Genomic DNA, 22861 nt, shown 5'->3' on the forward strand with positions numbered 1-22861 from the left:
TTACCACTCCTTTCACTGTATCCCACAAATTGTGATAAATTATAGTTTATTTTCCTTTAGTTCAAAATATTTTTAAATTTCTTTTTCCTATTATTTTATTTTATTTTATTTTATTTTATTTTATTTTTTTAGACAGGGTCTTGCTCTGACACTCCACAGGCTGGAGTACAGTGGTGCGATCATAGCTCACTGCAGCCTTGACCTCCTGGGCTCAAGCAGTCCTCCTGTCTCAGCCTCCCAAAGTACTGGGACTACAGGTGCATGCCACCCCACCTGGCTTAAATTTCTCTTGAAAATTCTTCTTTGACTCGGCTGGGTGCAGTGGCTCATGCCTGTAATCCCAGCACTTTGGGAGGCCGAGGTATGTGGATCACGAGGTCAGGAGATCAAGATCATCCTGGTCAACATAGTGAAACCCCGTCTCTACTAATAATACAAAAATTAGCTGGGTGTGGTGGCACCTGCCTGTAATCCCAGCTACTCAGGAGGCTGAGGCAGGAGAATCTATTGAACCAAGGAGTTGGAGGATGCAGTGAACCGAGATTGCGCCACTGCACTCCAGCCTGGTGACAGAGCGAGACTCCATCTCAAAAAAAAAAAAGAAAAAAGAAAATTCATCTTTGGCTCATGTGTTATTTAGAAGTGTCTTGTTTAATTTCCATATTAAATACTTGGGGGATTTCCCAGCTATCTTTCCATTATTGATTTCTACTTTATTTCAACTGTGGTCTGAGAACATACTTTATACAATATCTATTCTTTTAAATTTGTTGAGGTGTGTTTTATGGCCCCAGAATTTGATGTATCTTGTTGAATATTCCATACAAGCTTGAGAAGAACCTGTATTTTGCTGTTGTTGCATAGTCTTCTATAAATGTCAATTAGATCAAGCTCATTGAAATTGCTATTCAGGTTAACTTTAGCCTTTATTTTACACCTGCTTCATCAATCAGCTACTGATAGACAGGTGCTGAAGTCTCCAACTATAATGGTGGATGTGCCTATTTTTAAGTTCTATTAATTTTTGCACATATATTTATTTAGGTGCATATAAGTTTAATATTGTTATGTCTTCTTAGAGAATTGAGCCAATTATTTTTACATAGTGCTCTTATTTATCCCTCATAAGTTTCCTTGTTCTGAAATCTGCTTTGTCTGAAATTAATATAACTGCTCCAGTTTTCTTTCAATTAGTGTTAGCATGGCATATTTTCTCTATTTCTTTGCTTTTAACCCATCAGAGTCTTAATATTTAAAGGGGGCCGGGCACAGTGGCTCACACCTGTAATCCTAGCACTTTGGGAGGCTGAGGGAGGCAGATCACGAGGTCAGGAGATCGAGACCATCCTGGCTAACATGGTGAAACCCTGTCTCTACTAAAAATACAAAAAATTAGCGAGGCGTGGTGGCAGGTGCCTGTAGTCCCAGCTACTCAGGAGGCTGAGGCAGGAGAATGGCATGAACCTGGGAGGAGGAGTTTGCAGTGAGCTGAGATCACGCCACTGCACTCCAGCCTCCAGCCTGGGCAACAGAGTGAGACTCTGTCTCAAAAAAAAAAAAAAAAAAATATATATATATATATATATATATTTAAAGGGTTTCTTACAGAAAACAAAAAGCTAGGTGTTCATTCTACTTCTTTAATCCACTCTGAAAATTTCTGTCTTTTAATTGTGTGTTTAGATCAGCAGTACCCAACCTTTTTGGCACCAGGAACTGGTTTTGTGGAAGATAATTTTTCAATGGACCAAGGGTTGAGGGAGATGGTTTGGGGATGAAACTGTTCCACCTTAGATCACCAGGCTTTAGTTAGATTCTCATAAGGAGTGCACAACCTAGATCCCTTGCATTTGTAGTTCACAATAAGCTTCAAACTCCTATAAGAATCTAATGCCACCGCTGACCTGATAGAAGGTGGAGTTCAGGCAGTAATGCTTGCTCACCCGCTGCTCACCTCCTGCTGTGCAGCCCAGTTCCTAACAGGCCTTGGACCAGTCCACAGCCCAGTTCCTATCAGGAACTGATAGGCCTTTGGGAGGTGATTAGGTCATGAAGGTAGGACTTGGTACTGAGAAGTGGAGGGGGCTGCCATAATAAATACCTAAAATGTGGATGCAGCTTTGGAGCCAGGTAATGGGTAGAGGCTGGAAGAATTTTAAGGTACATGCTAGAAAAAGCCTACGTTGCTGTGAGTGGTTCATAAGCGGAAATTCTGAGGAGGAATCTCAGGAGAAGAGGAGTGCTACAGAGACAGACTCAATCTTCTGAGAATATCTAAGTGGTTATGAGCTGCATATTGGTAGAAATACGGACAATAAAGGCCATTCTGATGAGTTTCAGACAGAAATGAGGAACATGTTATTGTTGGACAATGGAGGAGAGGCCATTTTATCATAAAGTAGCAAAGAATCTGGTTGAATTGTGCTCATGCCCTCGTGTTTTGTGGAAAGTCGAACTTGCAAGCAATGAAACTGGGTATTTGGCTGAGGAAATCACTAAGCAAAGTAGTGAAAAGGTAGGCTGGTTCCTCTCAATTGCTTAAAGTAAAATGCAAAACGAAGAAATAATTTAAAAGATGAAATTGTTTGTCAAAAGGGGAAGCAGAACTTAAAGATTTGGAAAATTCTCAGCCAATCCATATTGGAAATAACAAAAAAGCCTGTTCAAGACACCTTATGATAAAGAGATTACTATGGATCAGGCATCTCACCAGAAGCCTCATGCTATACATCAAAATAATGGGGAGATTCATCAGTCATCTAAACAGAAAACAGGACCTAAAATCTAAGACAATGGATGAATACCCGCAAAGACATTTCAGAGATCATCAGGGCTGCCCCTCCCATCACAGGGCTTCAAAGGAGGGACCACCACTACCCAGCAGCCTCACACTGCAGGCTGTGCTCTTTGCTCTCCATCACCACACTCTCCAGTCATCCCATGTGTGCTTTGGTGGGCCCCATTGCAGCATGCACTGCACCAAGCAAAGCTGTGGGGGGCAGAGCCGGATTTCAAAGGATGCCCTAGAGAGCACTGGGGCCCAGGCAGAGAACCACCACAGGGGCAGGGCCACTGCAGAGAGCTCCCAACTAGGAAAATATCCAGAGAGCAATGAGGGCTTGACCTCAGACTGGTAGAGCCACTACCATGCAATTCCAGGCCCAGGAGAGCAACAGGTCCACAACTCCAACCCATAAGAGCTGTGGCATGGGCTGTACACAGCAAAGCCATGGGGGTGGGGCTGTCCAAAGCCATGAGGGCAGACAAAGCTGAGGAGGAGAGATCACCATCCCAGTAGGTCCAGAAGGCTGTCTTCCACCCCAGTGGGTGGCATCAGGTCAAGGAATATTTCTCTTGAGCCTTAAGAGTTTGGACTTGTTGAGACCTCTCATACCTTTCTTTATTCTTATTTCTCCCTTTTGGGATGGGACTGCCTGTCCTGTAACTGTCCCACCATTGTATTTTGGAAGCAAGTAGCATGTTTGATTTTAAATATTCAATTTGGATTGCTGGAGAACAATGCCTTAAAATGAATCATACCTTGAATCTCATCCACATCCTATTTAGATGACATTTAGATAAAACTTTGGTCTTGAGACTTTCGAGTTGATGCTAGAATGAGTTAAGACTTCCAGGTCTGTTGGGATGAGATTAATGTATTTCACACCTAAGAAGGACATGAATTTTGGAAGGCCAGGGTGGAATGCTGTGGTTTGCATATATATTTTGTATACAGACAATTTATCAGATAGACGTCTTGAAAATATTTTATTTCAGTCTGTTTCTCCCTCAAATTCATATGTTGAAATCCTAACCCCTGAAATGATGGTATTTGGGATTGGGGTCTTTTGGGGTGATTAGGTCATGAAAGTGGAGCCCTCATACATGGGATTAATCCCCCTATAAAAGAGGCCTGAGGGAGACCCCCTGTCCCTTCCACCATGTGAGGACATCACAAGAAGGCACCATCTATGAACCAGGAAAGGGTTCTTCACCTGACACCAACTCTGCTGGCAACTTGATTTTGGACTTCACAGCCTCCAAAACTGGGAGAAAGAAGTTTATGTTGTTTATAAACTACATAATCTATGGTATTTTGTCAGCAGCCGAAATGGACTAAGAAAGCAGGTCTGCTGGTGATAAAGCCCCCTAGTTTTTATTTTTCTGAGAAAGTCTTTGTCTTTCACTTGAACAATAAGTTCACTGGATATAGAAATCTAGGTTGTTGGAATTTTTTTTCTGTCAACACCTTAAATATTTCACCCTACTACTAACTGGGTGGGTAGAGTGGGTTTTAATCTCCGCAAAATGCCCCATCCCAGAGGAATTATCACTATTTGTGTTGTCTGGTAGTTCCCTAAAAAGCTGCATGCTCAAGGCTTGCCTTTATTTGACCTGACTCAGAGCTCACTGTGTATAAACAGCTCTATACCTAAGGTGTTTATTGAAAAAATGAGAAATTTTTCTACACTGTAGCTGCCTGAGATAACAATAAGAGCTGTGGCTAACAAAGGCTAACTAAAAACCTTTAAAGTATAAACCAAAGATAAAATCCTAAGCCCCCAACTGACTGAATGAACCCCATCTTGGCCAAAGGGAACACAGAGAAACCTGAAAAACTAAATTCCAGGCCATGACGGGAAGGGAGGTTAGATTTGCCTCGTTATACTCCTGCCTTTTTGGAGTTTAGGCACAGGTGACCAGCATTAACATTAAAACTGAGATCATAAGACTGACCAAACAGACTCTTTGTGGCAATAAGATACCAAATTGCAACCCGACTTTGGTATAGTATCACATGACGGATAGCAGACTCTGAAGGAAATAAAAATATTTTATCCCAAAATATATTTCTTTGACATATTTTGAAATGGCTGCCACAAGCCAGCAGATTGATGTAGAGGAAATTTGCATCTGAAGAGAATCTCCATTAATGCAGCCAGGCCTTCCCTTTCTAGGCCTTTCCTAGATCTAGGAGAGAATGAGAGTCTGACACCTTTAAAAGTTTAAAAAGAAACATTTACTATCTATTCTCTCTGAGGGCTGCCACCTAAGAGGCTTCATCTACATAATAAAAACCTTGTTGTTCACAACCTCCTTATCTTAACTCAGGCATTCCTTTCTGATTTCAAGCCTTTAGACAACAGCTTAACTCTCTCAACCAATTGTCAACTAAAGAATCCTTAAAACCCACCTAGGACTTGCAAGCCCTCACTTTGAAATGTCCCGGCTTTTCGGGCTGAACCAATGGGTACTTTACATGTATTTATTTATGTCTTTACTGTAACTTCTGCATCCCTAAAAGGCATAAAACCAAAATGAAACCTGATTGCCTCAGGCACACTTCTCAGAACCTCTTGAGACTGTTCCCTGGACCAGGGTCCCTCATATTAGCCCAGAATAAACCTCTTTAAATATTTTACAGAGGTTAGTTTATGTTCATCAACAAAAGGAAAAACTGAAAAATGAGATATCCATAATGGGCTTAGAAAAGTGATGACATATTCCTACAAATCTAAACACCACATGCAAGTGCAGGGCTGTGTACATGCTCAGGAAAAAACCTGATAAAGATCTAGTCTCTCACTTATAGCTTAACTTGAGGTTCTGCATTTGCAGGAAGTGAAAGTTAAGGCAGATGTATAAACTGCAGGCCTGAACATTGACAGTGTGCTCCAACATATACACAGAGTTCCCAGCAAAGACTGGGAGACTCATTGGTCCAAGACATTCAAGGAAATTTCTGTCCAATCATTAGCTGACCACTATACCAACTAAGAAGAGACTTCGGTGGCTGCACATAACCAAGAATACAGACTTTACAGAATTAACCCAGGAAATCCACCAAACAAACAAGCAGAAGCAACAATAACAACAACAATAAACAAACAAAAAAGCTTGGTTAGGAAGGGGAATCTTATTTTCCATGTCGCCACATTATATTATTTAATATATTCAGTTTTCAACAAGAAAACATAGGAGATAGGCAAAGAAACAGGAAAGTATGGCCCATACACAGGAAAAAAGTCAGTCAATAGAACTGTTCCTAAGGAAGAGCAGATGAGATGTTGGACTTACTAGACAAAGACTTTACATCAGCTATTGTAAATATGTGCAAAGAACTAATGAAAATCTTGTATAAATAATTAAAAGAAAGTATGACAACGACATCTCACCAAGTAGATATATAAATAAAAACATAGAAACTACAATAAAAACAAATAGAAATTCTAGAATTGAAAAGTACATAATTAAAATTAAAAATCACTGGAGGGGCTCAACACAAGATTTTCACTTACATAAAACAGCATCAGTGAACCGGAAAATAGATGAAATAAAATGATACATTTGTAGAATAGGACAAAAAATTAATGAAATAAATGAACAGAAGCCTCAGAAATCTGTGGAACAACATCAAGTGTGCCAACATACAGACAATGTGAGTTAAGGAGGATAGGAGAGAGAAGGGGTCAGAGAGAATATATGGAGAAATAATGGCTGAAAATGTGCCAAATTTTATGAAAACATTAATCTATGTATCTAAGAAGCTTAATGAACTCCTAGTAGGATAAACTGAAAGTGATCCACACCTAGATCCTTCATAATCAAATTGTCAAAGTGACAAAGACAAGAAGAGCCTTGAAAGTAGCAAGAGAGGCTAGACACAGTGGCTCACGCCTATAATCTCAGCACTTTGGGAGGCTGAGGCAGGAGGATTACTTGAGCCCAGAAGTTGGAGACCAGCCTAGGCAACATAATGAGTCTCCGTCTCTACAAAAATTAGCCAGGTGTGGTGGTACATGCCTGTGAGCCCTGCTATCAGGAGGCTGATATGGGGGAATCGCTTAAGCCCAGGAGATTGAGGCTGCAGTGAGCCATTATCATGCCACCGCACTCTAGCCTGGGCAACAGAGCAAGACCCTGTCTCAGAAAAAAGAAGAAAGTAGCAAGAGACAAGCAACTCATCACGTGCAAGGGATTCTCAACAGGATTAATAGCTGAGTTCTCATCAAATATCATGGGAGCCAGAAAGCAGTGGAATGACATATTCAAAGTGCTAAAAAAAATGACTTTTAACTAAGAATTCTATATTTGGCCAAACTGTTTTTCAAAAAGAGCAAGAAATTAAGACATTCCTGGATAAACAAAAATTGGCAGAATTCATTATTAGCAGATTTTCACATAATGGCTCAAACAAATACTAATGGGAGTGCTTTAGCTGAAATGAAAGGACACCGGACAATAACTAGATTCACATAAGGAAATAAAAGTCACCAATTAAGGTATCTACAATGTAAATAAAAATGACAATTTGTTTTGTGACACTTTTCTTCTCCTATCTGATTTAAAAGACAACTACACAAAGCAATAATTGTGTTGATGAGTTTAAAATGTATAAAGATGTAATGTCATGACAATGGCAAAAAGAAGAGATAAGGAATAGATTTATATTGAAGCAAAGTTCTTTGTATAGTATTGAAATAAAATTCATATTAATATCAACTATACTGTTTTAATTAATATGTTATTGTAGCCCTCAGAGGCCCACTAAGAAAATAACCATATATATATATATATATATATATATATATATATATATATATATATAAAACAGACATAAATCCATTTTTCCCAGGAATTACATTAAATGAATTAAACACTCCAACCAAAAGTCAGAGATTGGCAGAATGGATTTGAAGAGTGTGATTCAACTATACTTCAACAAGACACATACTTCAGATTCCAATACACAAATAGGTTGAAATGAAAGGACGGAAAGGATATGCCATGCATACGGTAAACAAAACAGAGCTGGTGTGGCTACACCAATATACAAGATAGGCCTTAAGGCAAAAATTGTTACTAGAGACAAAGAAATACTTGTATAATGATAAAAGAGTCTACCTATTAGAAAGACATAACCAAAGTGGTTATGTCTTGCCATCTAACAACAGAGCTACTAGATATATGAAGATAAAAGTGAAAGAAAGGAGGAAGAAATAGTTCAACATAATAGCAGGAGACTTAAATACTCAACTTTCAATAATGGATAGAACAACTACACAGAAGACCAACAGGGGACCCAAAGACTTGAACAACACTCTAAACCATTAGACATAACAAACGTCTATAGCACACTCCACCGTACCACAGCAGAATACATATTCTTCTCAAGTGTACATAGGACATTCTCTAGGATAGATCATATATTAGATAAAAAAATAAATCTCAATAAAATTTTAAAGATTAAACTCATATAAAGTATCTTCTCTGACCACAATAGAACTAGAAATTAATAACAGAAGGAAAACTGGAAAATTCACAAATATGTGGAAAATAAACAATGCACTTCTAAAAACAACCAAGGGGTCAAAGAACAAATCAAGAGAAAAATTAGCAAATACTTTGCAATGAATGAAAATGAGAAAGTATGTGATATGGTTTGGCTGTGTCTCCATTCAAATCTCAACTTCAATTGTATCTCCCAAAATTCCCACATGTTGTGGGAGGGACCCAGGGGGAGGTAATTGAATAACGGGGGCTGGTCTTTCCTGTGCTATTCTTGTGATAGTTAATAAGTCTCACGAGATCTGATGGTTTTATCAGGGTTTACCCTTTTGCTTCCTCTGCATTCTCTTTCCTGCTGCCGCCGTGTAAGAAGTGCCTTTTGCCCTCTGCCATGACTATGAGACCTCTCCAGCCATAGAGAACTGTAACTCAAATTAAACTTCCTTTTTTTCTCAGTCTTGGGTATGTCTTTATCAGCAGCATGAAAACAGACTAATACAGTACAAAAACAAAAAATTGTTTCATTTAAAAGATAATCAGAATTGCAAACCTTTAGCTAGACTGACCAAGAAAAAAGAAGATTCAAATTACTAAAATCAGAAATGAAAGAGACATAAACATGCATATATCTTTATATTATTATAAAGAATTATTTATATATTATCCTAAATTATTACTTATATTCCTTTAGGTATATACCCAGTAATAGGATTGCTGGGTCAAATGGTATTTCTGGTTCTAGGTCGTTGAGGAATCTTCCACAATGGTTGAACTAATTTACATTCCCACCAACAGTGTAAAAGCATTCCTATTTCTCCACAGCCTTGCCAGCATCTGTTGTTTCTTGACTTTTTAATAATCACCATTCTGACTGGTGTGAGATGGTATCCCACTGTGGTTTTGATTTGCATTTCTGTAATGATCAGTGATGTAGAGCTTTTTTTCATATATTTGTTGGCTGAATAAATGTCTTCTTTTGAGAAGTGTCTGTTCATGTCCTTCACCCACTTTTTAATGAGAGTGTTCATTTTTTCTTGTAAATTTGTTTAAGTTCCTTGTAGATTCTGGATATTAGACCTTTGTCAGATAGATAGATTGCAAAAATTTTCTCCCATTCTGTAGGGTGTCTGTTCATTCTGATGATAGTTTCTTTTGCTGTTAGTTCCTCTTTCTTTTAGATCCCATTTGTCAATTTTTGCTTTTGTTGCAATTTCTTTTGACATTTTCATCATGAAATCTTTGCTCATACCTATGTCTTGAATGGGCCTAGATTTTCTTCTAGGGTTTTTATAGTTTTGAGTTTTACATTTAAGTCTTTAGGCCATCTTGAGTTAATTTTTGTATAAGGTGTAAAGAAGGGCTCCAGTCTCAATTTTCTGCATATGGCCAGCCAGTTTTCCCAGAACCATTTATTAAATAGGGAATCCTTTTCCCATTGCTTGTTTTTGTCAGGTTTATCAAGGATCAGATGGTTGTAGATGTGCAGTCTTATTTCTGAGGTCTCTATTCTGTTCCATTGGGCTATGTGTCTGTTTTTGTACCAGTACCATGCTGTTTTTGGTTACTGTAGCCTTATAGTATAGTTTCAAGTTGGGTAGCATAATGCCTCCATGTTCATTCTTTTTGCTTAGGATTGTCTTGGCTATACGGGCTCTTTTTTGGTCCCATATGAATTTTAAAGTAGTTTTTTTCTAATTCTGTGAAGAATGTCAATGGTAGTTTAATGGGAATAGCATTGAATCTATAAATTATTTTGGGCACTATGGCCATTTTAACAATATTGATTCTTCCTATCCATGAGCATGGAATGCTTTTCCATTTGTGTCCTCTCTGATTTCCTTAAGGGGTGGTTTGTAGTTTTCCTTGAAGAGGTCCTTCACTTCCCTTGTTAGCTGTATTCCTAGGTATTTTATTCTCTTTGTAGCAATTGTGAATGTGAGTTCATTCACTATTTGACTCTGCTTGTTTATTGTTGGTATATAGGAATGCTTGTTATTTTTGCATGTTTATTTTGCTGAAGGTACTTTTTGTTGCTGAAGCTACTTAGCTTAAGAAGCTTTGGGCTGAGACAATGGGATTTTCTAGATATGGGATCATGTCAACTGCAAACAGACCCAGTTTGACTTCCTCTCTTCCTACTTGAATACCTTTATTTCTTTATCTTGCCTGATTACCCTGGCCAGAACTTCCAATACTGTGTTGAATGGAAATGGTGAGAGAGGGCATCCTTGACTTGTGCCAGTTTTCAAGGGAATGCTTCCAGCTTTTGCCCATTCAGTATGATACTGGCTGTGGGTTTGTCATAAATGGCTCTTATTATTTTGAGGTATGTCCCATCAATACCTAGTTCATTGAGAGTTTTTAACATGAAGCGATGTTGAATTTTATCGAAGCCCTTTCCCACAGATAACCATGTGGTTTTTATCTTTAGTTCTGCTTATGTGATGAATTATGTTTATTGATTTGCATATATTGAACTAGCCTTGAATCCCGGGGATGAAGCTGACTTGATTGTTGTTGATAAGCTTTTTGATGTGCTGCTGGATTCAGTTTGCCAGTATTTTATTGAGGATTTTTGCTTCAATGTTCATTGGAGACAATATGTTTTATAAAATAGACATAAAAATACTAGCAAACCAAATCAAGCAATGTATAAAAAGGATTATATATCATAAGCAAGTGGATTTATCCAGGAATAAAAGATTGGCATAACATCCAAATATAATCAGTGTGAAACAATATTTTTTTTTGTAATAGACAAAAAAAGCATCTGATAAAATACAACACCTTTTTCTGTTAAAAAAAAAAAAAAAACTCAACAAACTTAAAATAGAAGAGAATTTCCTTAACCTTCTACAGGGCATCCGTGAAAAACCCAAAGCTAACACCATAACGTGGTAAAAGACTGAATACTTTCCCACTAAGATAAGGAATAAGACAAAGATGTCTGCTTTCACCACTTCTATTTAACACTATACTGGAGGTTCTAGCCAGGGAACTATTAAAAGGCATGCAGACTGGAAAGGCAGAAGTAAAACTATCTCTACAGATGACATAATCTTGTATACAGAACATCCTAAGGAATCCACAGGAAAATTATTAGAGCTAATACATGCATTCAACAAGGTTGTGGGATACAAAATCATTAGAGAAAAATTCATAGTATTTCAATACTTTGAATGAACAATTTGAAAATGAAATTAAAGGCCAGCCACAGTGGCTTGTGCCTGCAATCCTAGCACTTTGAGAGGCCAGAGCAGGAGGATCGCTTGAGCCCACGAGTTCAACACCAGCCTGGGTAACATAGGGAGACTCCGTCTTCTCTACAAAAAAAAAAAAAAAAAAAAAAAAAAAGCCGGGCATGGTGGTGCATGTCTGTGGTCCCAGCTATTCGGGAGGCTGACATGGGAGCATCGCTTAAGCCCAGGAGATCAAGACTACAGTGAGCTGTGATCACACCACTGCATTGCAGCCTGGGCAACAGAGTGAAACTCTGTCAAAATAAAGGAAAGAGAAAGGGAAAGGGAAAGGGAGGAAAAGGAAGGAAGGAAGGGGAGGGGAGGGGAGGGGAGGGAGGGAGGGAGGTAGGAAGGAAGGAAGGAAGGAAGGAAGGAAGGAAGGAAGGAAGGAAGGAAGGAAAAAGAAAAGAAAAAGAAAAAATTCCATTTACAATAGTATTAAAATTTTAACAAATAATTTGCAAGACTTGTTCACTGAAAACTACAAAGCATTTCTGGAAGGAATTAGAGAGCATCTAAATAAAGTAAGGCATCCCGTATTTATGACTTGGAAGATTTAATGTTTCTAAGATGACAATACTCTCTAAATTAATCTACAGATTTGATATCCTAAAAAATAAAACCAGATTTTTGTTTTTCATTTTTATAATTTGTTTGTTTTTACTTTTTTGCTGATCTGATGTTAAAATTCATATGAAAATACAGGAGATTCAGAATAGCTAAAACAATCTTGAACAAAAAGAACAAACTTAGAGAACTCGTATTTCTTGATTTCAAAACTTACCACATTTGGTTATATTTGGTACAATAATCAAAACACTGTGGTACTGGCATGAGGATAAGTCAATAGTTCAATAGAATAGAATTGAGAGCACAGAAATAAGTGCTTACATTTATAGTCAATAAGTTTTCTACAAGGGTGCCAAGATGATTCAATGAGGAAAAAAAAGTAACATTTTAGATCTTTCCCTCACATCAACCATATACAAAAATTAACTCAAAATGGATCACGAACTTAAATGTAAGTGCTAAAACTACAAAACTCTTTTTTTTTTTTTCTGAGATGGAGTTTCATTCTTGTTGCCCAGCTGGAGTGCAATGACACGATCTCGGCTCACCACAACCTCCGCCTCCCAGGTACAAGTGATTCTCCAGCCTCAGCTTCCTGAGTAGCTGGGATTACAGACACGTGCCACTACGCCCTGCTAATCTTTTTTGTATTTTTAGTAGAGACAGGGTTTCTCCATGTTGGTCAGGCTGGTCTTGAACTCCCGACCTCAGGTGATCCACCTGCCTTGGCTCCCCAAAGTGCTGGGATTATAGGAGTGAGCCACTGCACCTGGCCTATAAAACTCTTTTTTAAAAAACACGGGAGTAAATCTTCATAATCTTGAATTAGGCACTGGTGGCTTTTTGGTTTTTTTGTTTTTTGTTTTTTGTTATTTTTTGATAAAGTCTTTCTCTGTTGCCCAGGCTGGAGTGCAGTGGCGCAATCTTGGCTCACTGCAACCTCCACCTACCGTCCCGAGTAGCTGAAATTACAGGCCCGTGCCAGCACACTCGGGTAATTTTTGTATTTTTAGTAGAGACGGGGTTTCACCATTTTGGCCAGGCTGGTCTCAAACTCCTGACCTCAAGCCATCCACCAGCCTCAGCCTCCCAAAGTGCTGGGATTACAGGCATGAGTTACTGCACCCAGCGTTGAATTAGGCAATGGTTTCTTAAATATGACATCTAAGGCAAAAGTGACAAAAGGAAAAATAATTGATAATTGGATTTTCTCATTTCCTCAAAATTAAATTTTCAGGGGGTTCAAAGGACACCATCAAAAAAGTGAAAAGACAACCCCACAGGATGGGGACAATATTTGCAAGTCATATATCTGATAAAGAACTCTCAAAACTCAATAGTAAAAAGATAATCCAATTTAGAAATGGGCAAAGGACTCATTTTTTCAAAGAAATTTTTCCAAAATTTTTCCAAAGAAGATATACACGATAAGCATGTGAAAAGATGCTCACCATCATTTGTCACCAGGGAAATGCAAAGCTAAAGCATAGGAGATACTGCTGCCCATTCACGAAGATGGCTAGAATCAAAAGCAGCCAACAACAAGGCTTGGCAAAGGTGTGGAGGGATCCGAATCCTCTCACGGTGGGAATGGATGATGGGGCCACTGCTTTGGAGAAGAGCATGGCATTTCCTCAGAAGGTTAGCGTAGGTGCCACGTGATCCACCAATTCCAATCCTAGGTATCGTTTTTGTTTGTTTTTTTGGGATGGAGTCTTACTCTGTCACCCAGGCTGAAGTGCTGGAGTGCTGGAGTGCGGTAGAATGATCTCAGCTCACTGCAACTGCAACCTCCGCCTCCCAGGTTCAAGCGATTCTCCTGCCTCAGCCTCCCAAGTAGCTGGGACTACAGGCATATGCCACCACGCCCAGCTACTTTTTGTATTTTTAGTAGAGACAGGGTTTCACCATGTTAGTCAGGCTGGTCTCGAACCCCTGACCTCAGATAATCTGCTTGCCTCAGCCTTCCTAAGTTCTGGGATTACAGGTGTGAGCCACCAAGCCCCACCCTAGGTATCTATTCATATCTAAGAGAGCTGAAATATATTTCTACATAAACACTTGTCCATGGATGTTCATCAGCAGCACTGCTTACAATCACCCAAAAGTGGAAACTGCCCAGTGTCCATCAGCTGAGGGCATTTATCTGAGGGGAGTTTTCGGGAGGCGGGAGGTGAGACCGCATGGGAGGAAAGCTCAGGGCCTGGAGTGCATTCAGCAGTGGCTGGGAAGACTGCCTCAGGGCCTGTGTGCTCCCTGCTGCACTCACACCCCTTGCTCCATGGAGAACTGAGATGAAACCTTGAAGATTCCAAATGCAGTTGATGGAAATGGCAGTTGCTGTGGTTATTATCTAGGGAGTGCCTGTGAGAATCTAACAAGAAAACACACTTAGAGAGCCCCACCAGCCTCGCGGAACAGGAAGCCTGCGTTCTGTGTTTCCAGTTCCCTCATTGCCCTGTCCTGTCCTGCCCTCCTTCCCACTCACTGGCTACACATAATCACCACTGGTATCACAGGAGGTCTTGGATCTGTGTGTGTGAGAGAGACAGACAGACATAGACAGACAGACAGAGTCAGTGGGAGCCAGAGAGAGAAAGCATGGGAGCTAATTTCTCCCTGGCTCCCAATGAGGAATGAGGACAGGAAAAGTCATGCAGCATCCAGGCTCCTTGGCGCAACTGGGTCCCAATTCCCATCCTCCTGCCATCAGCCTCGGTCTGTCCCCACCTTGCCACTGCCCCCGAATTAAATGCTTCCGAGCATTTTCTGGAACTGTTTTTCTCACATCGCCCACACATTCTTATTCCCTTAGTCGAGGCTCTGTCCACCTTCAGCCCACCGGACAGTCAATTTTCCCAGCCGCTGGTGAGTTTCTGGTTTGCCAAGACCCAGAGGCTGGGGGAAGCCAGACAGCAGGTGGCAGCTCTTCCGGCCGAGGAGAGGAGAGGGACAGGGCTGGCTCCTCTAGATGAAGAGGTGAGAGAGCTGTGCTAGGATCAGGCGGACAGTGTTCCTGGCAGTAGCAGCAGCAAGAGCACAGGCCCTGAGGTGGGGCTGAGCTGACCTACCCCAAGAGTGAATGGCAACCCCTCAGGGGCCTTAGAGAGTGAGAAGGGGTGGAGAGAAGTGGAGGAGGGTCGCCAGGGGCCAGGTCATGCCAGGCCTCATGGGGTCTGGTGGCAGCTTCCAGCTCTATTTTGGTTGCAGGTTTTAATCCCAAAAGTTGTGTTCCCTGGTCACACTTGAGAAACGTGGGCAGCTGCTATGTTGAATGGAGGTTGAAAAGAAGGGGCATTAGGGGGGTTTGCTGTGGTTGAAGTGGGGATGACCACATGGGCTAGGCGTTGGAGGGGGCAGGCTGGAGAGACGCGGGAAGACTGGGTGCATGAAATGATGTCCCCTGCCCAGGACTCGCTGAGGCCACGGCAAGTGCATGAGGAAGCACAGAGTCCAGGGACTTCTGGTCTCCAGCCTGAGCAGGAGGTAGACAGGATGTGAATCCCAGTGTGGGGATGGATGGGGCCCAGTGGAACCCTTGCCAGGTGGGCCCTGAAGCTCAGGGCCCTCTCAGGAATCATTTTATGTACATCATGGTGCAGGCAGGGTAGTGCTGTCCTGGGGCAATGTGAATCCATTATTTATTGTGGCACAGCAGTATTGTCATTTTCTTGTTTGTTTGCTTAGTTATTGTTTATCCTTGAAATAGAATTAATGGCTTGCTGAAGTATCCTTTGTGCCTAGAACAATGCTGGCACAGGGCAGGGGCTCAACTGATATTTATTGCATGGATGGATAAATGGATGAATGGATGGATGATGGATTATTGGTGGATAGATGGTGTATTAGTCAGGGTTCTCTAGAGGGACAGAACTAATATATATAAAGGGGAGTTTATTAAGTATTAACTCACATGATCACAAGGTCCCACAATAGGCTGTCTGCAAGCTAAGGAGTAAGGAGAGCCAGTCCAAGTCCCAAAACTGAAAAAAATTGGAGTCTGATGTTCAAGGGCAGGAAGCATCCAGCATGGGAGAAAGATGTAGTCTGGGAGACTAGACCTTTCTCCTCTTTTCACACTTTTCTGGCAGCTTTTCATATTCTAGCCATGCTGGCAACTGATCAGATGGTACCCAACCAGATTAAGGGTGGGTCTGCCTTTCCCAGCCCACTGACCCAAATGTTAATCTCCTTTGGCAACACCCTCACAGACACACCCAGGATCAATACTTTGGATCCTTCAATCCAATCAAGTTGACACTCAGTATTAACCATCACAGACGGATTGATGGATGAATGGATGAATGGATAAATGGATGGATGATGGATGGGTGGATGGGTGGATGGATGGATGGATGAATGAATAGACATGGAAGAAAAGGAAAATAGATGCACAGATGGACAGATGGATAAATACAAAAATAGATGGACAGATGGATGATGGATGGATGGTTGGTGTTAAGGACTTAATTGTGTCCCCCCAAATTCATACTGAAGCACTAATACCTAATGTGGCTGTATTTGGAGATAGAGCTTTTAGGAAGGCAATTAAGGTTAAAGGAGGTCCTAAGGGTAGGGCCCTGATTCAATGGGACTGGTGTCCTTACAAGAAGAGGAAGAGACACTAGAGAGCTCTCTCTCCATGTGTGCACAGAGGAAAGGCCCCGTGAGGACACAAGGAGAGGAGCCTCCTACAAGCTGGCAAGAGAGGCCTCACCAGAAACCAGCCCTGCTGGCACCTTGACCTTGGATTGAGTGTGAGAAACTCAATGTATATTGTTTAAGCCACCCAGTCTGTAATATTTTGTGATGATGGCCTGACATGGATGATATGGATGGATGGAGGGATGGACGGCTCCCCCAGCCCCTCTGAGTCTTCCCTCTGGGTGCAGGCAACCCTATTCAGGGACAATGTGAGTGCATGGCTGCTGCTGGAAAGACCAGTCTTGGGAACTGGGGTTATGTTTGACTTCCTGGCTCTTCAGCTTGATGCTCTCTAGTCCCAATCTGGGACAGGGCTCCTTTCCCACAATGTTCAAGTTTGCAGAGGGACCCTGGAAACCCTGAAGGCAATGCCTTGGGGCCCTCACACCTGGACCCATTCACACATTTCCAGGTATTGGTGCCTCCCCCGGGAGCCTGCCCAGAGCCCTTGCGGAGGACCTGGGGCAAGGGAACAGGGCGGGAAGCTGGGGCAAGGGAACAGGGCAGGAAGCTGAGAGCCGTTTTCCTCCGAGCTAATGGAACCTCTTCCATCACCACCAGCTTAGCCTTTAATCATCCTCACTTTCAAGTGGAAGGCAGAGCTCCCCAGACACTGGACGGGTCAGGGCCATCATCTTCCAACTAGGGGTGCACAGCAGGGCTAATGGACGGGACTGGGGCCAACAGCTGGAAATCAAATCATCTCCCAGAACCACAGCTCAGCAGACCCTGGGGGAGGGGCACCTCCACTCTCTGCGTAGCTCTTGGGTGCAGGCTGGCAAGGCTGGGGAACAGTCCTGAACTGCTCCACCCAGGCGTTACCCCCTGCACACTTCTTGGCCTCAAAACTTTCGTTATATGGAAGCTTGATGAGTAAAAGTTGGTCTGGTTGACAGCAGGTAAGGGCTTTCTCCCTTTCTGCCAGGCTGACCCTGGGAAGACACCAAATGGCATATTGGAATGGTCCGCTTCCACCCTCCCCAACCTGCCTACAGTGACCATAGCTGTGGGCGGCCACCATCCTGCCCAGACCACACTGACGACGCTTCTCACAGCCTCCCCTCTGACCCCTCCTCCTCCACCTGCCCCTGGCACCTGCTGTGGCCCTGCCACCACTCCCACTGCAGTCCCAGCAGAATGAAGAGGCTTGTTCAATGTGTGGTTTCAAGGAGTGAAGTGCAAAGCTTCCCCTTTCCTTTGCAGTCTCTCTTGATGTGTTGTGGTGGTTATGTTTGCTATTTAATGGCATTCTAGTCAAGAAAAGTTGAAATTATAAATTATAGAAAAAAATTAAAATTTTAATTTTAATGGTAAAATAAAATTTACCATTCATCTTTATATCATTCAATGCCAATTTTAAACATAAATTGCTGTGTAAGAGCATTTAACTCATGCAGAAACACCAAAATTTCTGTAACTCGTACATGCATGTATATGTTGTCCTTTTCAGAAAAGCGCAAACACTTCACTGAACTAACTCACCTGATTGAATTTCACTTCCTGGTGCAGGCGCATTGTACCAACCCTCTCTACTTCAGCCTACCAGGAGGGAGGAAGGCCACCGTCTTTCCTTCTCCTTCCATGTCATCCTCAGCGTCGGTGCTTGTGCAGTACAGGTAGGTGACAGAGCCGGCAAGGATGCCCAGGGCTGCTCCTCTGTGTTTCTTAGGAGCCCGCTGCCCCACCGTGCTCAGGCAGGGCAGCACGTGTTGGCCACGCTCACCAGCTGGCTGAGCTCCACCCGGAACCCTGTGCTGGGGCCTTGGGAGGCCTGATGGGGATGGGCTCACACTCATCCACACATCCCTTCTGCTCAGAGGGCCCAGGGCTTCATTTAGCACAAGTTCAGACATGAAACCGTTAAGAATTCCAGCGTAGCCGCAGCCCAGCACTGAACCCAATGCCTGCTCCTCTGACTGTCTACCTTGGCTGGTTCCTGTGTCACTGGAAGGAGGAAGGAACCCCTCCCCCGTCACCACGGTTGTTCTGTTTTGGGGCCTGGCACCATCACCCAACAACTATTTGCTGAATAAACGCATTGTTCACCCACTGAGTATTTGCTGAGCACCTACTGGCAGGGCGCCCTGAGGGCGCAGAGATACAGCTGAGGACAGCGCAGCTTCTAACCTTGCCATCCCCAAGGTGCGCGGAGCCCTCAGGGTGACCCAGCTTGCTGACGAGCAAGCGGAGGCCGAGCAGGTGAGACTGGCTGAGTCAGACCTGCTGCCGGGGCAGACGCAGGACAAGGCTGCTTTTTTGCCCCTGGACCTCAGGATCCAGGTCCGGGACGCCGCGGGCAGGGGCTCTGGACCGCGCTACTCGACCCCTCCCCCACCGCCTGGGTCTGCCAGGCAGGAGGGAGCCGCTGCAGCCAACCTGCTCCTCCCGCACTATCGATTTTCAATTGACCTCCGCCTCCCACTTTACACTTCAGAGCGCTCAGCGGCCTCCACACCTCCTGAGCAAGGAGGAAAGCCAGCTGGGCGCGGGGCCCCTGCTTCCTCCCCGAGGGAGTCCTCGGCCAGGCCACCACCACCAATCTCGCTCCTCTCCCTTTCCTCTCTGTAAATGACACGAATGGCATTGTAAGGACTATAACAGGCACTTGGCCTTTCTAACTTTTTATTTGAAAATAACATCACACCTACAGAGGAGTTGCAAGAACAGGACAATGGATTCCCGTGGGCCCTGTACTTAGGTTCGCCCATTGTTAACAAGACAAGGACTTTCTCTTTCGGGACACAGCATCATAATCAAAATCAGGAAATTTAACCATGATGCAGTACTCTTTTCTAATATTCAGTCCATATTCAAATTTCATCATTGTCCCAACCCCGTGTGTCCTTCAGAGCTCTTATTTTTCCCTAATGCAGGATCCGACTCCAGATCACACATCTCATTTCCTTATACTGTCTCTTCATTCAGAACAGTTCAGAGAGTCATAGCATATGATTCTGACAGGCGCAGTGCCCTGCTGTCATGCTCCCCACACGCGTGCCTGTTCATGCACATACAACACATGCACGCGTGCATGTGCACACATACATATGCATACATATGTGCACACACATGTCCATACACATCCAGCCTACAGCGGGCACTCGAGGTCCCCTGCCATCCTCCAGTACCTCCCCAGCCCTGTGGCCATCACCTTCTCTGCACACAGCACCCCACCAAGCTGCCACAATGCCTGTGTTGGGCTTTCTCTGAGTGGCCTCCCTCTGGGTCAGGGCCCAGTCCCCTGGGCCAAATTATGCCCATCCAGGCTGGCCTTGTGCCCAGCTGGCTTGTCCTGGCCAAACCTGCTCCAGGGGCACCTCTAGAGCTGAGGCCCGGGCCTGAGGGCAGTCCCCCAGACCTATCGGGAGGCATGTGAAGCTGCCAGCACAGCAGGAAAGTGGCTGAGCTCAGTGACTCTGGGACTCTCCGTGTGACCTCAGGCAGTTTCTCTGCTCTGTAAGCCACAACTCTCTCTATCTGGAAAATGGGAAGAACATTATTATATGAACACTAAATGCTCAGAAAGCCCTTCCTTCCTGGAATGGGTTAGTGGTACAGCACTGCCCTATCCCTTCTTCCCTTTTGAGAAGCACAGAACCCTATGGGTGCTGTCCCCAGGGCACTCAGGCCCCCACTGCTCCTTGGTGCCATCTGAGGCCAGGAATCAGCTCAGGCTCTGGCAAAAGGATTCTTGTTTTTCGTTCAAGCGCCACCTCTTCCTCTGCAGACACTCCTCTGCAGTCCTGCATGTACTGCACGCATGCACACATGCATGTGCAGTGGTCCCAGAAGGCAGCCCCAAATCTACAGGCTCCACAACCCCAGGGCTCAGAGCCTGGCCTAGCACAGAGCGACTCACAGGCCACCTGGGGCCATGGAAGGCCAGGACCTGGCACCCTCCTTGGCAGCAGAAAGGACAGAGAAGGTGCCAGTTGGAGGCATGGCCCGACACAGCGACACTGCCTAGTTCAAGTCACAGGCCCTGCAGGAAGAGTGCAGGGCTTGGATCCACTCATAGTGCTGTTCCAATGACCTGTGGGGTCTGAGTGCCCCAGAAGTCTCAAACACCAATGCTTGGGTCTATACATTCAGACAAGCCAGACTCCATGGGTCTGACCCCCAGGCAGCCTCCCGTGCCACCTTCCCCTGGATCAGGCGCACCATCCACACCTTGTCTGGCTTCACTCAGGCCTTTCTCAGTGCTAACCCACGTGGCTGTTGGTTTGCTGCTTAGGTGTGTGAGACAGTAACATGCATCTTCTCCCAGAGCTCACAGCCTGCTGGCTTTATCTGGTAGCACATCTGCTAGTGCTCCACTGACCTGTCTATTTTTCCTACCTCATTAGGGCAACTTTGTTTTTCTGAAGGTGATTATGACTACTTACTGAACTTGAATATACTAACAGATACTTCTCAAGTATACGTCTGAAGACGCTGCTCTGAGATGCACAGGAGTGTAGATGAGACGCTGTCTGAGATCAGAGTTTACTTCTTGCAAGGCCATCAGAGGAGAGGACGTCATGGAGGATGTGGTCATGGGTAGTGCCTCTGGCTCCGGACAGGCACAGTGTGCAGAGGACCTTGCAGGAGCATGGGTATGAAGGGAATAATGAGCGAGGGTAAGCCAAGAAATGTTCTAGGGGGCAGAGCCAGCCAGGGGCCAAGCCAGGACAGTTGGATGCAGCTAGACCCAGCAGGGCCTCCGCCCGGGTTGGACTCTGGTAGCATCCACTGCAGTCTCCATCCAGCCACGTGCTGGGGTCACAAGGCATGAACATGATCTCACGATGAAAGCTGTCTGTCTGTGACTGTGGGAGTGATTGCATTCCCATCCTTTCAAGCTTTCCCCAGCAGGAGTGGCAACGCTGAGCCTCACTCCCTGGGGCCTACTGTGACAGACGCCATGGCCAGCTCCTCAGGGTGGAGGTGAGGGTGAGGGATGCAGACCCCACAAAGTTCAACCCAGCCTACTCTTCACTGCAGCTCTGACTTGCAGATGTCAATGGGCTCCTTGGAATTCTTCAAATTCAGAGTCACAGCCCATTTGAGGGGGCAGCCTGAAGCTGGTTCGCTGGAACCTTTTTCTGTCCACGTTGAGTGCTTGCTAGAAGCTATGAGAGCAGCTCCTTCTCACTGTTGTGATGGCACAAACCACAGCCTTAACCCCTGTGTCCGCCTAGGCTGGAGTTGGGCTCCTTGACCCCTCCCTCTCCCTCACACTCCATACAATTAAGCCCCATTCACTTTACTCCCATAATCCCTCTAATGAGCAGGCTCTTCACCCACCTCCTGCCCCCTCACTGTGCTGCCCAGTTTAGGCCCTCATGAGCCCTCACATTGATTCCCTGCCTCCAGTCTCACCCTCTGCAATTTCCTCCCAACTTAAGTGCAAAACAGAAGTGGCATCATGGCAATCTTCAGTCTGAAATATCTAATGGGCATTCAGGTAACAGAATACTTGAGCATGGGCATCCAACTGCCTCTCCCAAATGCTAGCCCAAATGACTTCAGAAATAGAAAAGGAAGGAGAAACCTGTATCCATTTTGGAAATCCATCAGGGCACCATTTACACGCCACACGCAGAGCCATTTCCATAAGTTACAGTGCAGGCAAAAAACAGCCTGAAGGAAACTTGCAACCCTCCTTGCTGAGCAAGTACAGGCATGGGGGAAGAAACTGCAGGGGCCTGAGAAAGGCCCAGGAATAACCCAGCTATAGAGGATGGTGCAGATGATGAGGGCATGACATATGGAACCTCTTAGCACTGAGGGTCAGCATGTCTCAAAAGCAGACCAGGGCAGGGGGGCCAGGGCAATACTTTTCCTGAGGGGTGCGCAGTAGTCCAGGAAACAGGCTAGACAGACAAGGGATGGACCAGTCCAAGTAGAAAATTAATAAGAAAAATAGGTTCAAGGAAGAAATTCCCCTGTACAGAGAAAAAACACCCTGTTGGAACTGACCAGAACCATCTCCTCCATCTTGGGCTCTGAGTTGATTGTGAGGCCCTTAGGCCCTTAGCAGAGGATTCTGTTGTTATTTGTGTGGACAGCAAGGAGAA

The 22861-nt window shown here is 44.1% G+C and overlaps 5 annotated features.

The window, feature by feature from the left end:
- Window positions 4132–5127: an enhancer, noted in NCBI's record as "OCT4-NANOG-H3K27ac hESC enhancer chr10:43507236-43508231 (GRCh37/hg19 assembly coordinates)". NCBI's record gives its function as "activates a minimal SCP1, AML or CMV promoter by ChIP-STARR-seq in naive and primed H9 embryonic stem cells {active_cell/tissue: H9 hESC(naive and primed)}" and the evidence as "EXISTENCE:reporter gene assay evidence [ECO:0000049][PMID:30033119]".
- Window positions 5128–6122: an enhancer, noted in NCBI's record as "OCT4-NANOG-H3K27ac hESC enhancer chr10:43508232-43509226 (GRCh37/hg19 assembly coordinates)". NCBI's record gives its function as "activates a minimal SCP1, AML or CMV promoter by ChIP-STARR-seq in naive and primed H9 embryonic stem cells {active_cell/tissue: H9 hESC(naive and primed)}" and the evidence as "EXISTENCE:reporter gene assay evidence [ECO:0000049][PMID:30033119]".
- Window positions 18030–18538: an enhancer, noted in NCBI's record as "H3K4me1 hESC enhancer chr10:43521134-43521642 (GRCh37/hg19 assembly coordinates)". NCBI's record gives its function as "activates a minimal SCP1, AML or CMV promoter by ChIP-STARR-seq in naive H9 embryonic stem cells {active_cell/tissue: H9 hESC(naive)}" and the evidence as "EXISTENCE:reporter gene assay evidence [ECO:0000049][PMID:30033119]".
- Window positions 18539–19046: an enhancer, noted in NCBI's record as "NANOG-H3K4me1 hESC enhancer chr10:43521643-43522150 (GRCh37/hg19 assembly coordinates)". NCBI's record gives its function as "activates a minimal SCP1, AML or CMV promoter by ChIP-STARR-seq in naive H9 embryonic stem cells {active_cell/tissue: H9 hESC(naive)}" and the evidence as "EXISTENCE:reporter gene assay evidence [ECO:0000049][PMID:30033119]".
- Window positions 19557–20064: an enhancer, noted in NCBI's record as "H3K4me1 hESC enhancer chr10:43522661-43523168 (GRCh37/hg19 assembly coordinates)". NCBI's record gives its function as "activates a minimal SCP1, AML or CMV promoter by ChIP-STARR-seq in primed H9 embryonic stem cells {active_cell/tissue: H9 hESC(primed)}" and the evidence as "EXISTENCE:reporter gene assay evidence [ECO:0000049][PMID:30033119]".

The sequence above is a fragment of the Homo sapiens genome, chromosome 10 (genome assembly GCF_000001405.40).
Source record: "Homo sapiens chromosome 10, GRCh38.p14 Primary Assembly".
NCBI classification, from domain to species: domain Eukaryota; kingdom Metazoa; phylum Chordata; class Mammalia; order Primates; family Hominidae; genus Homo; species Homo sapiens.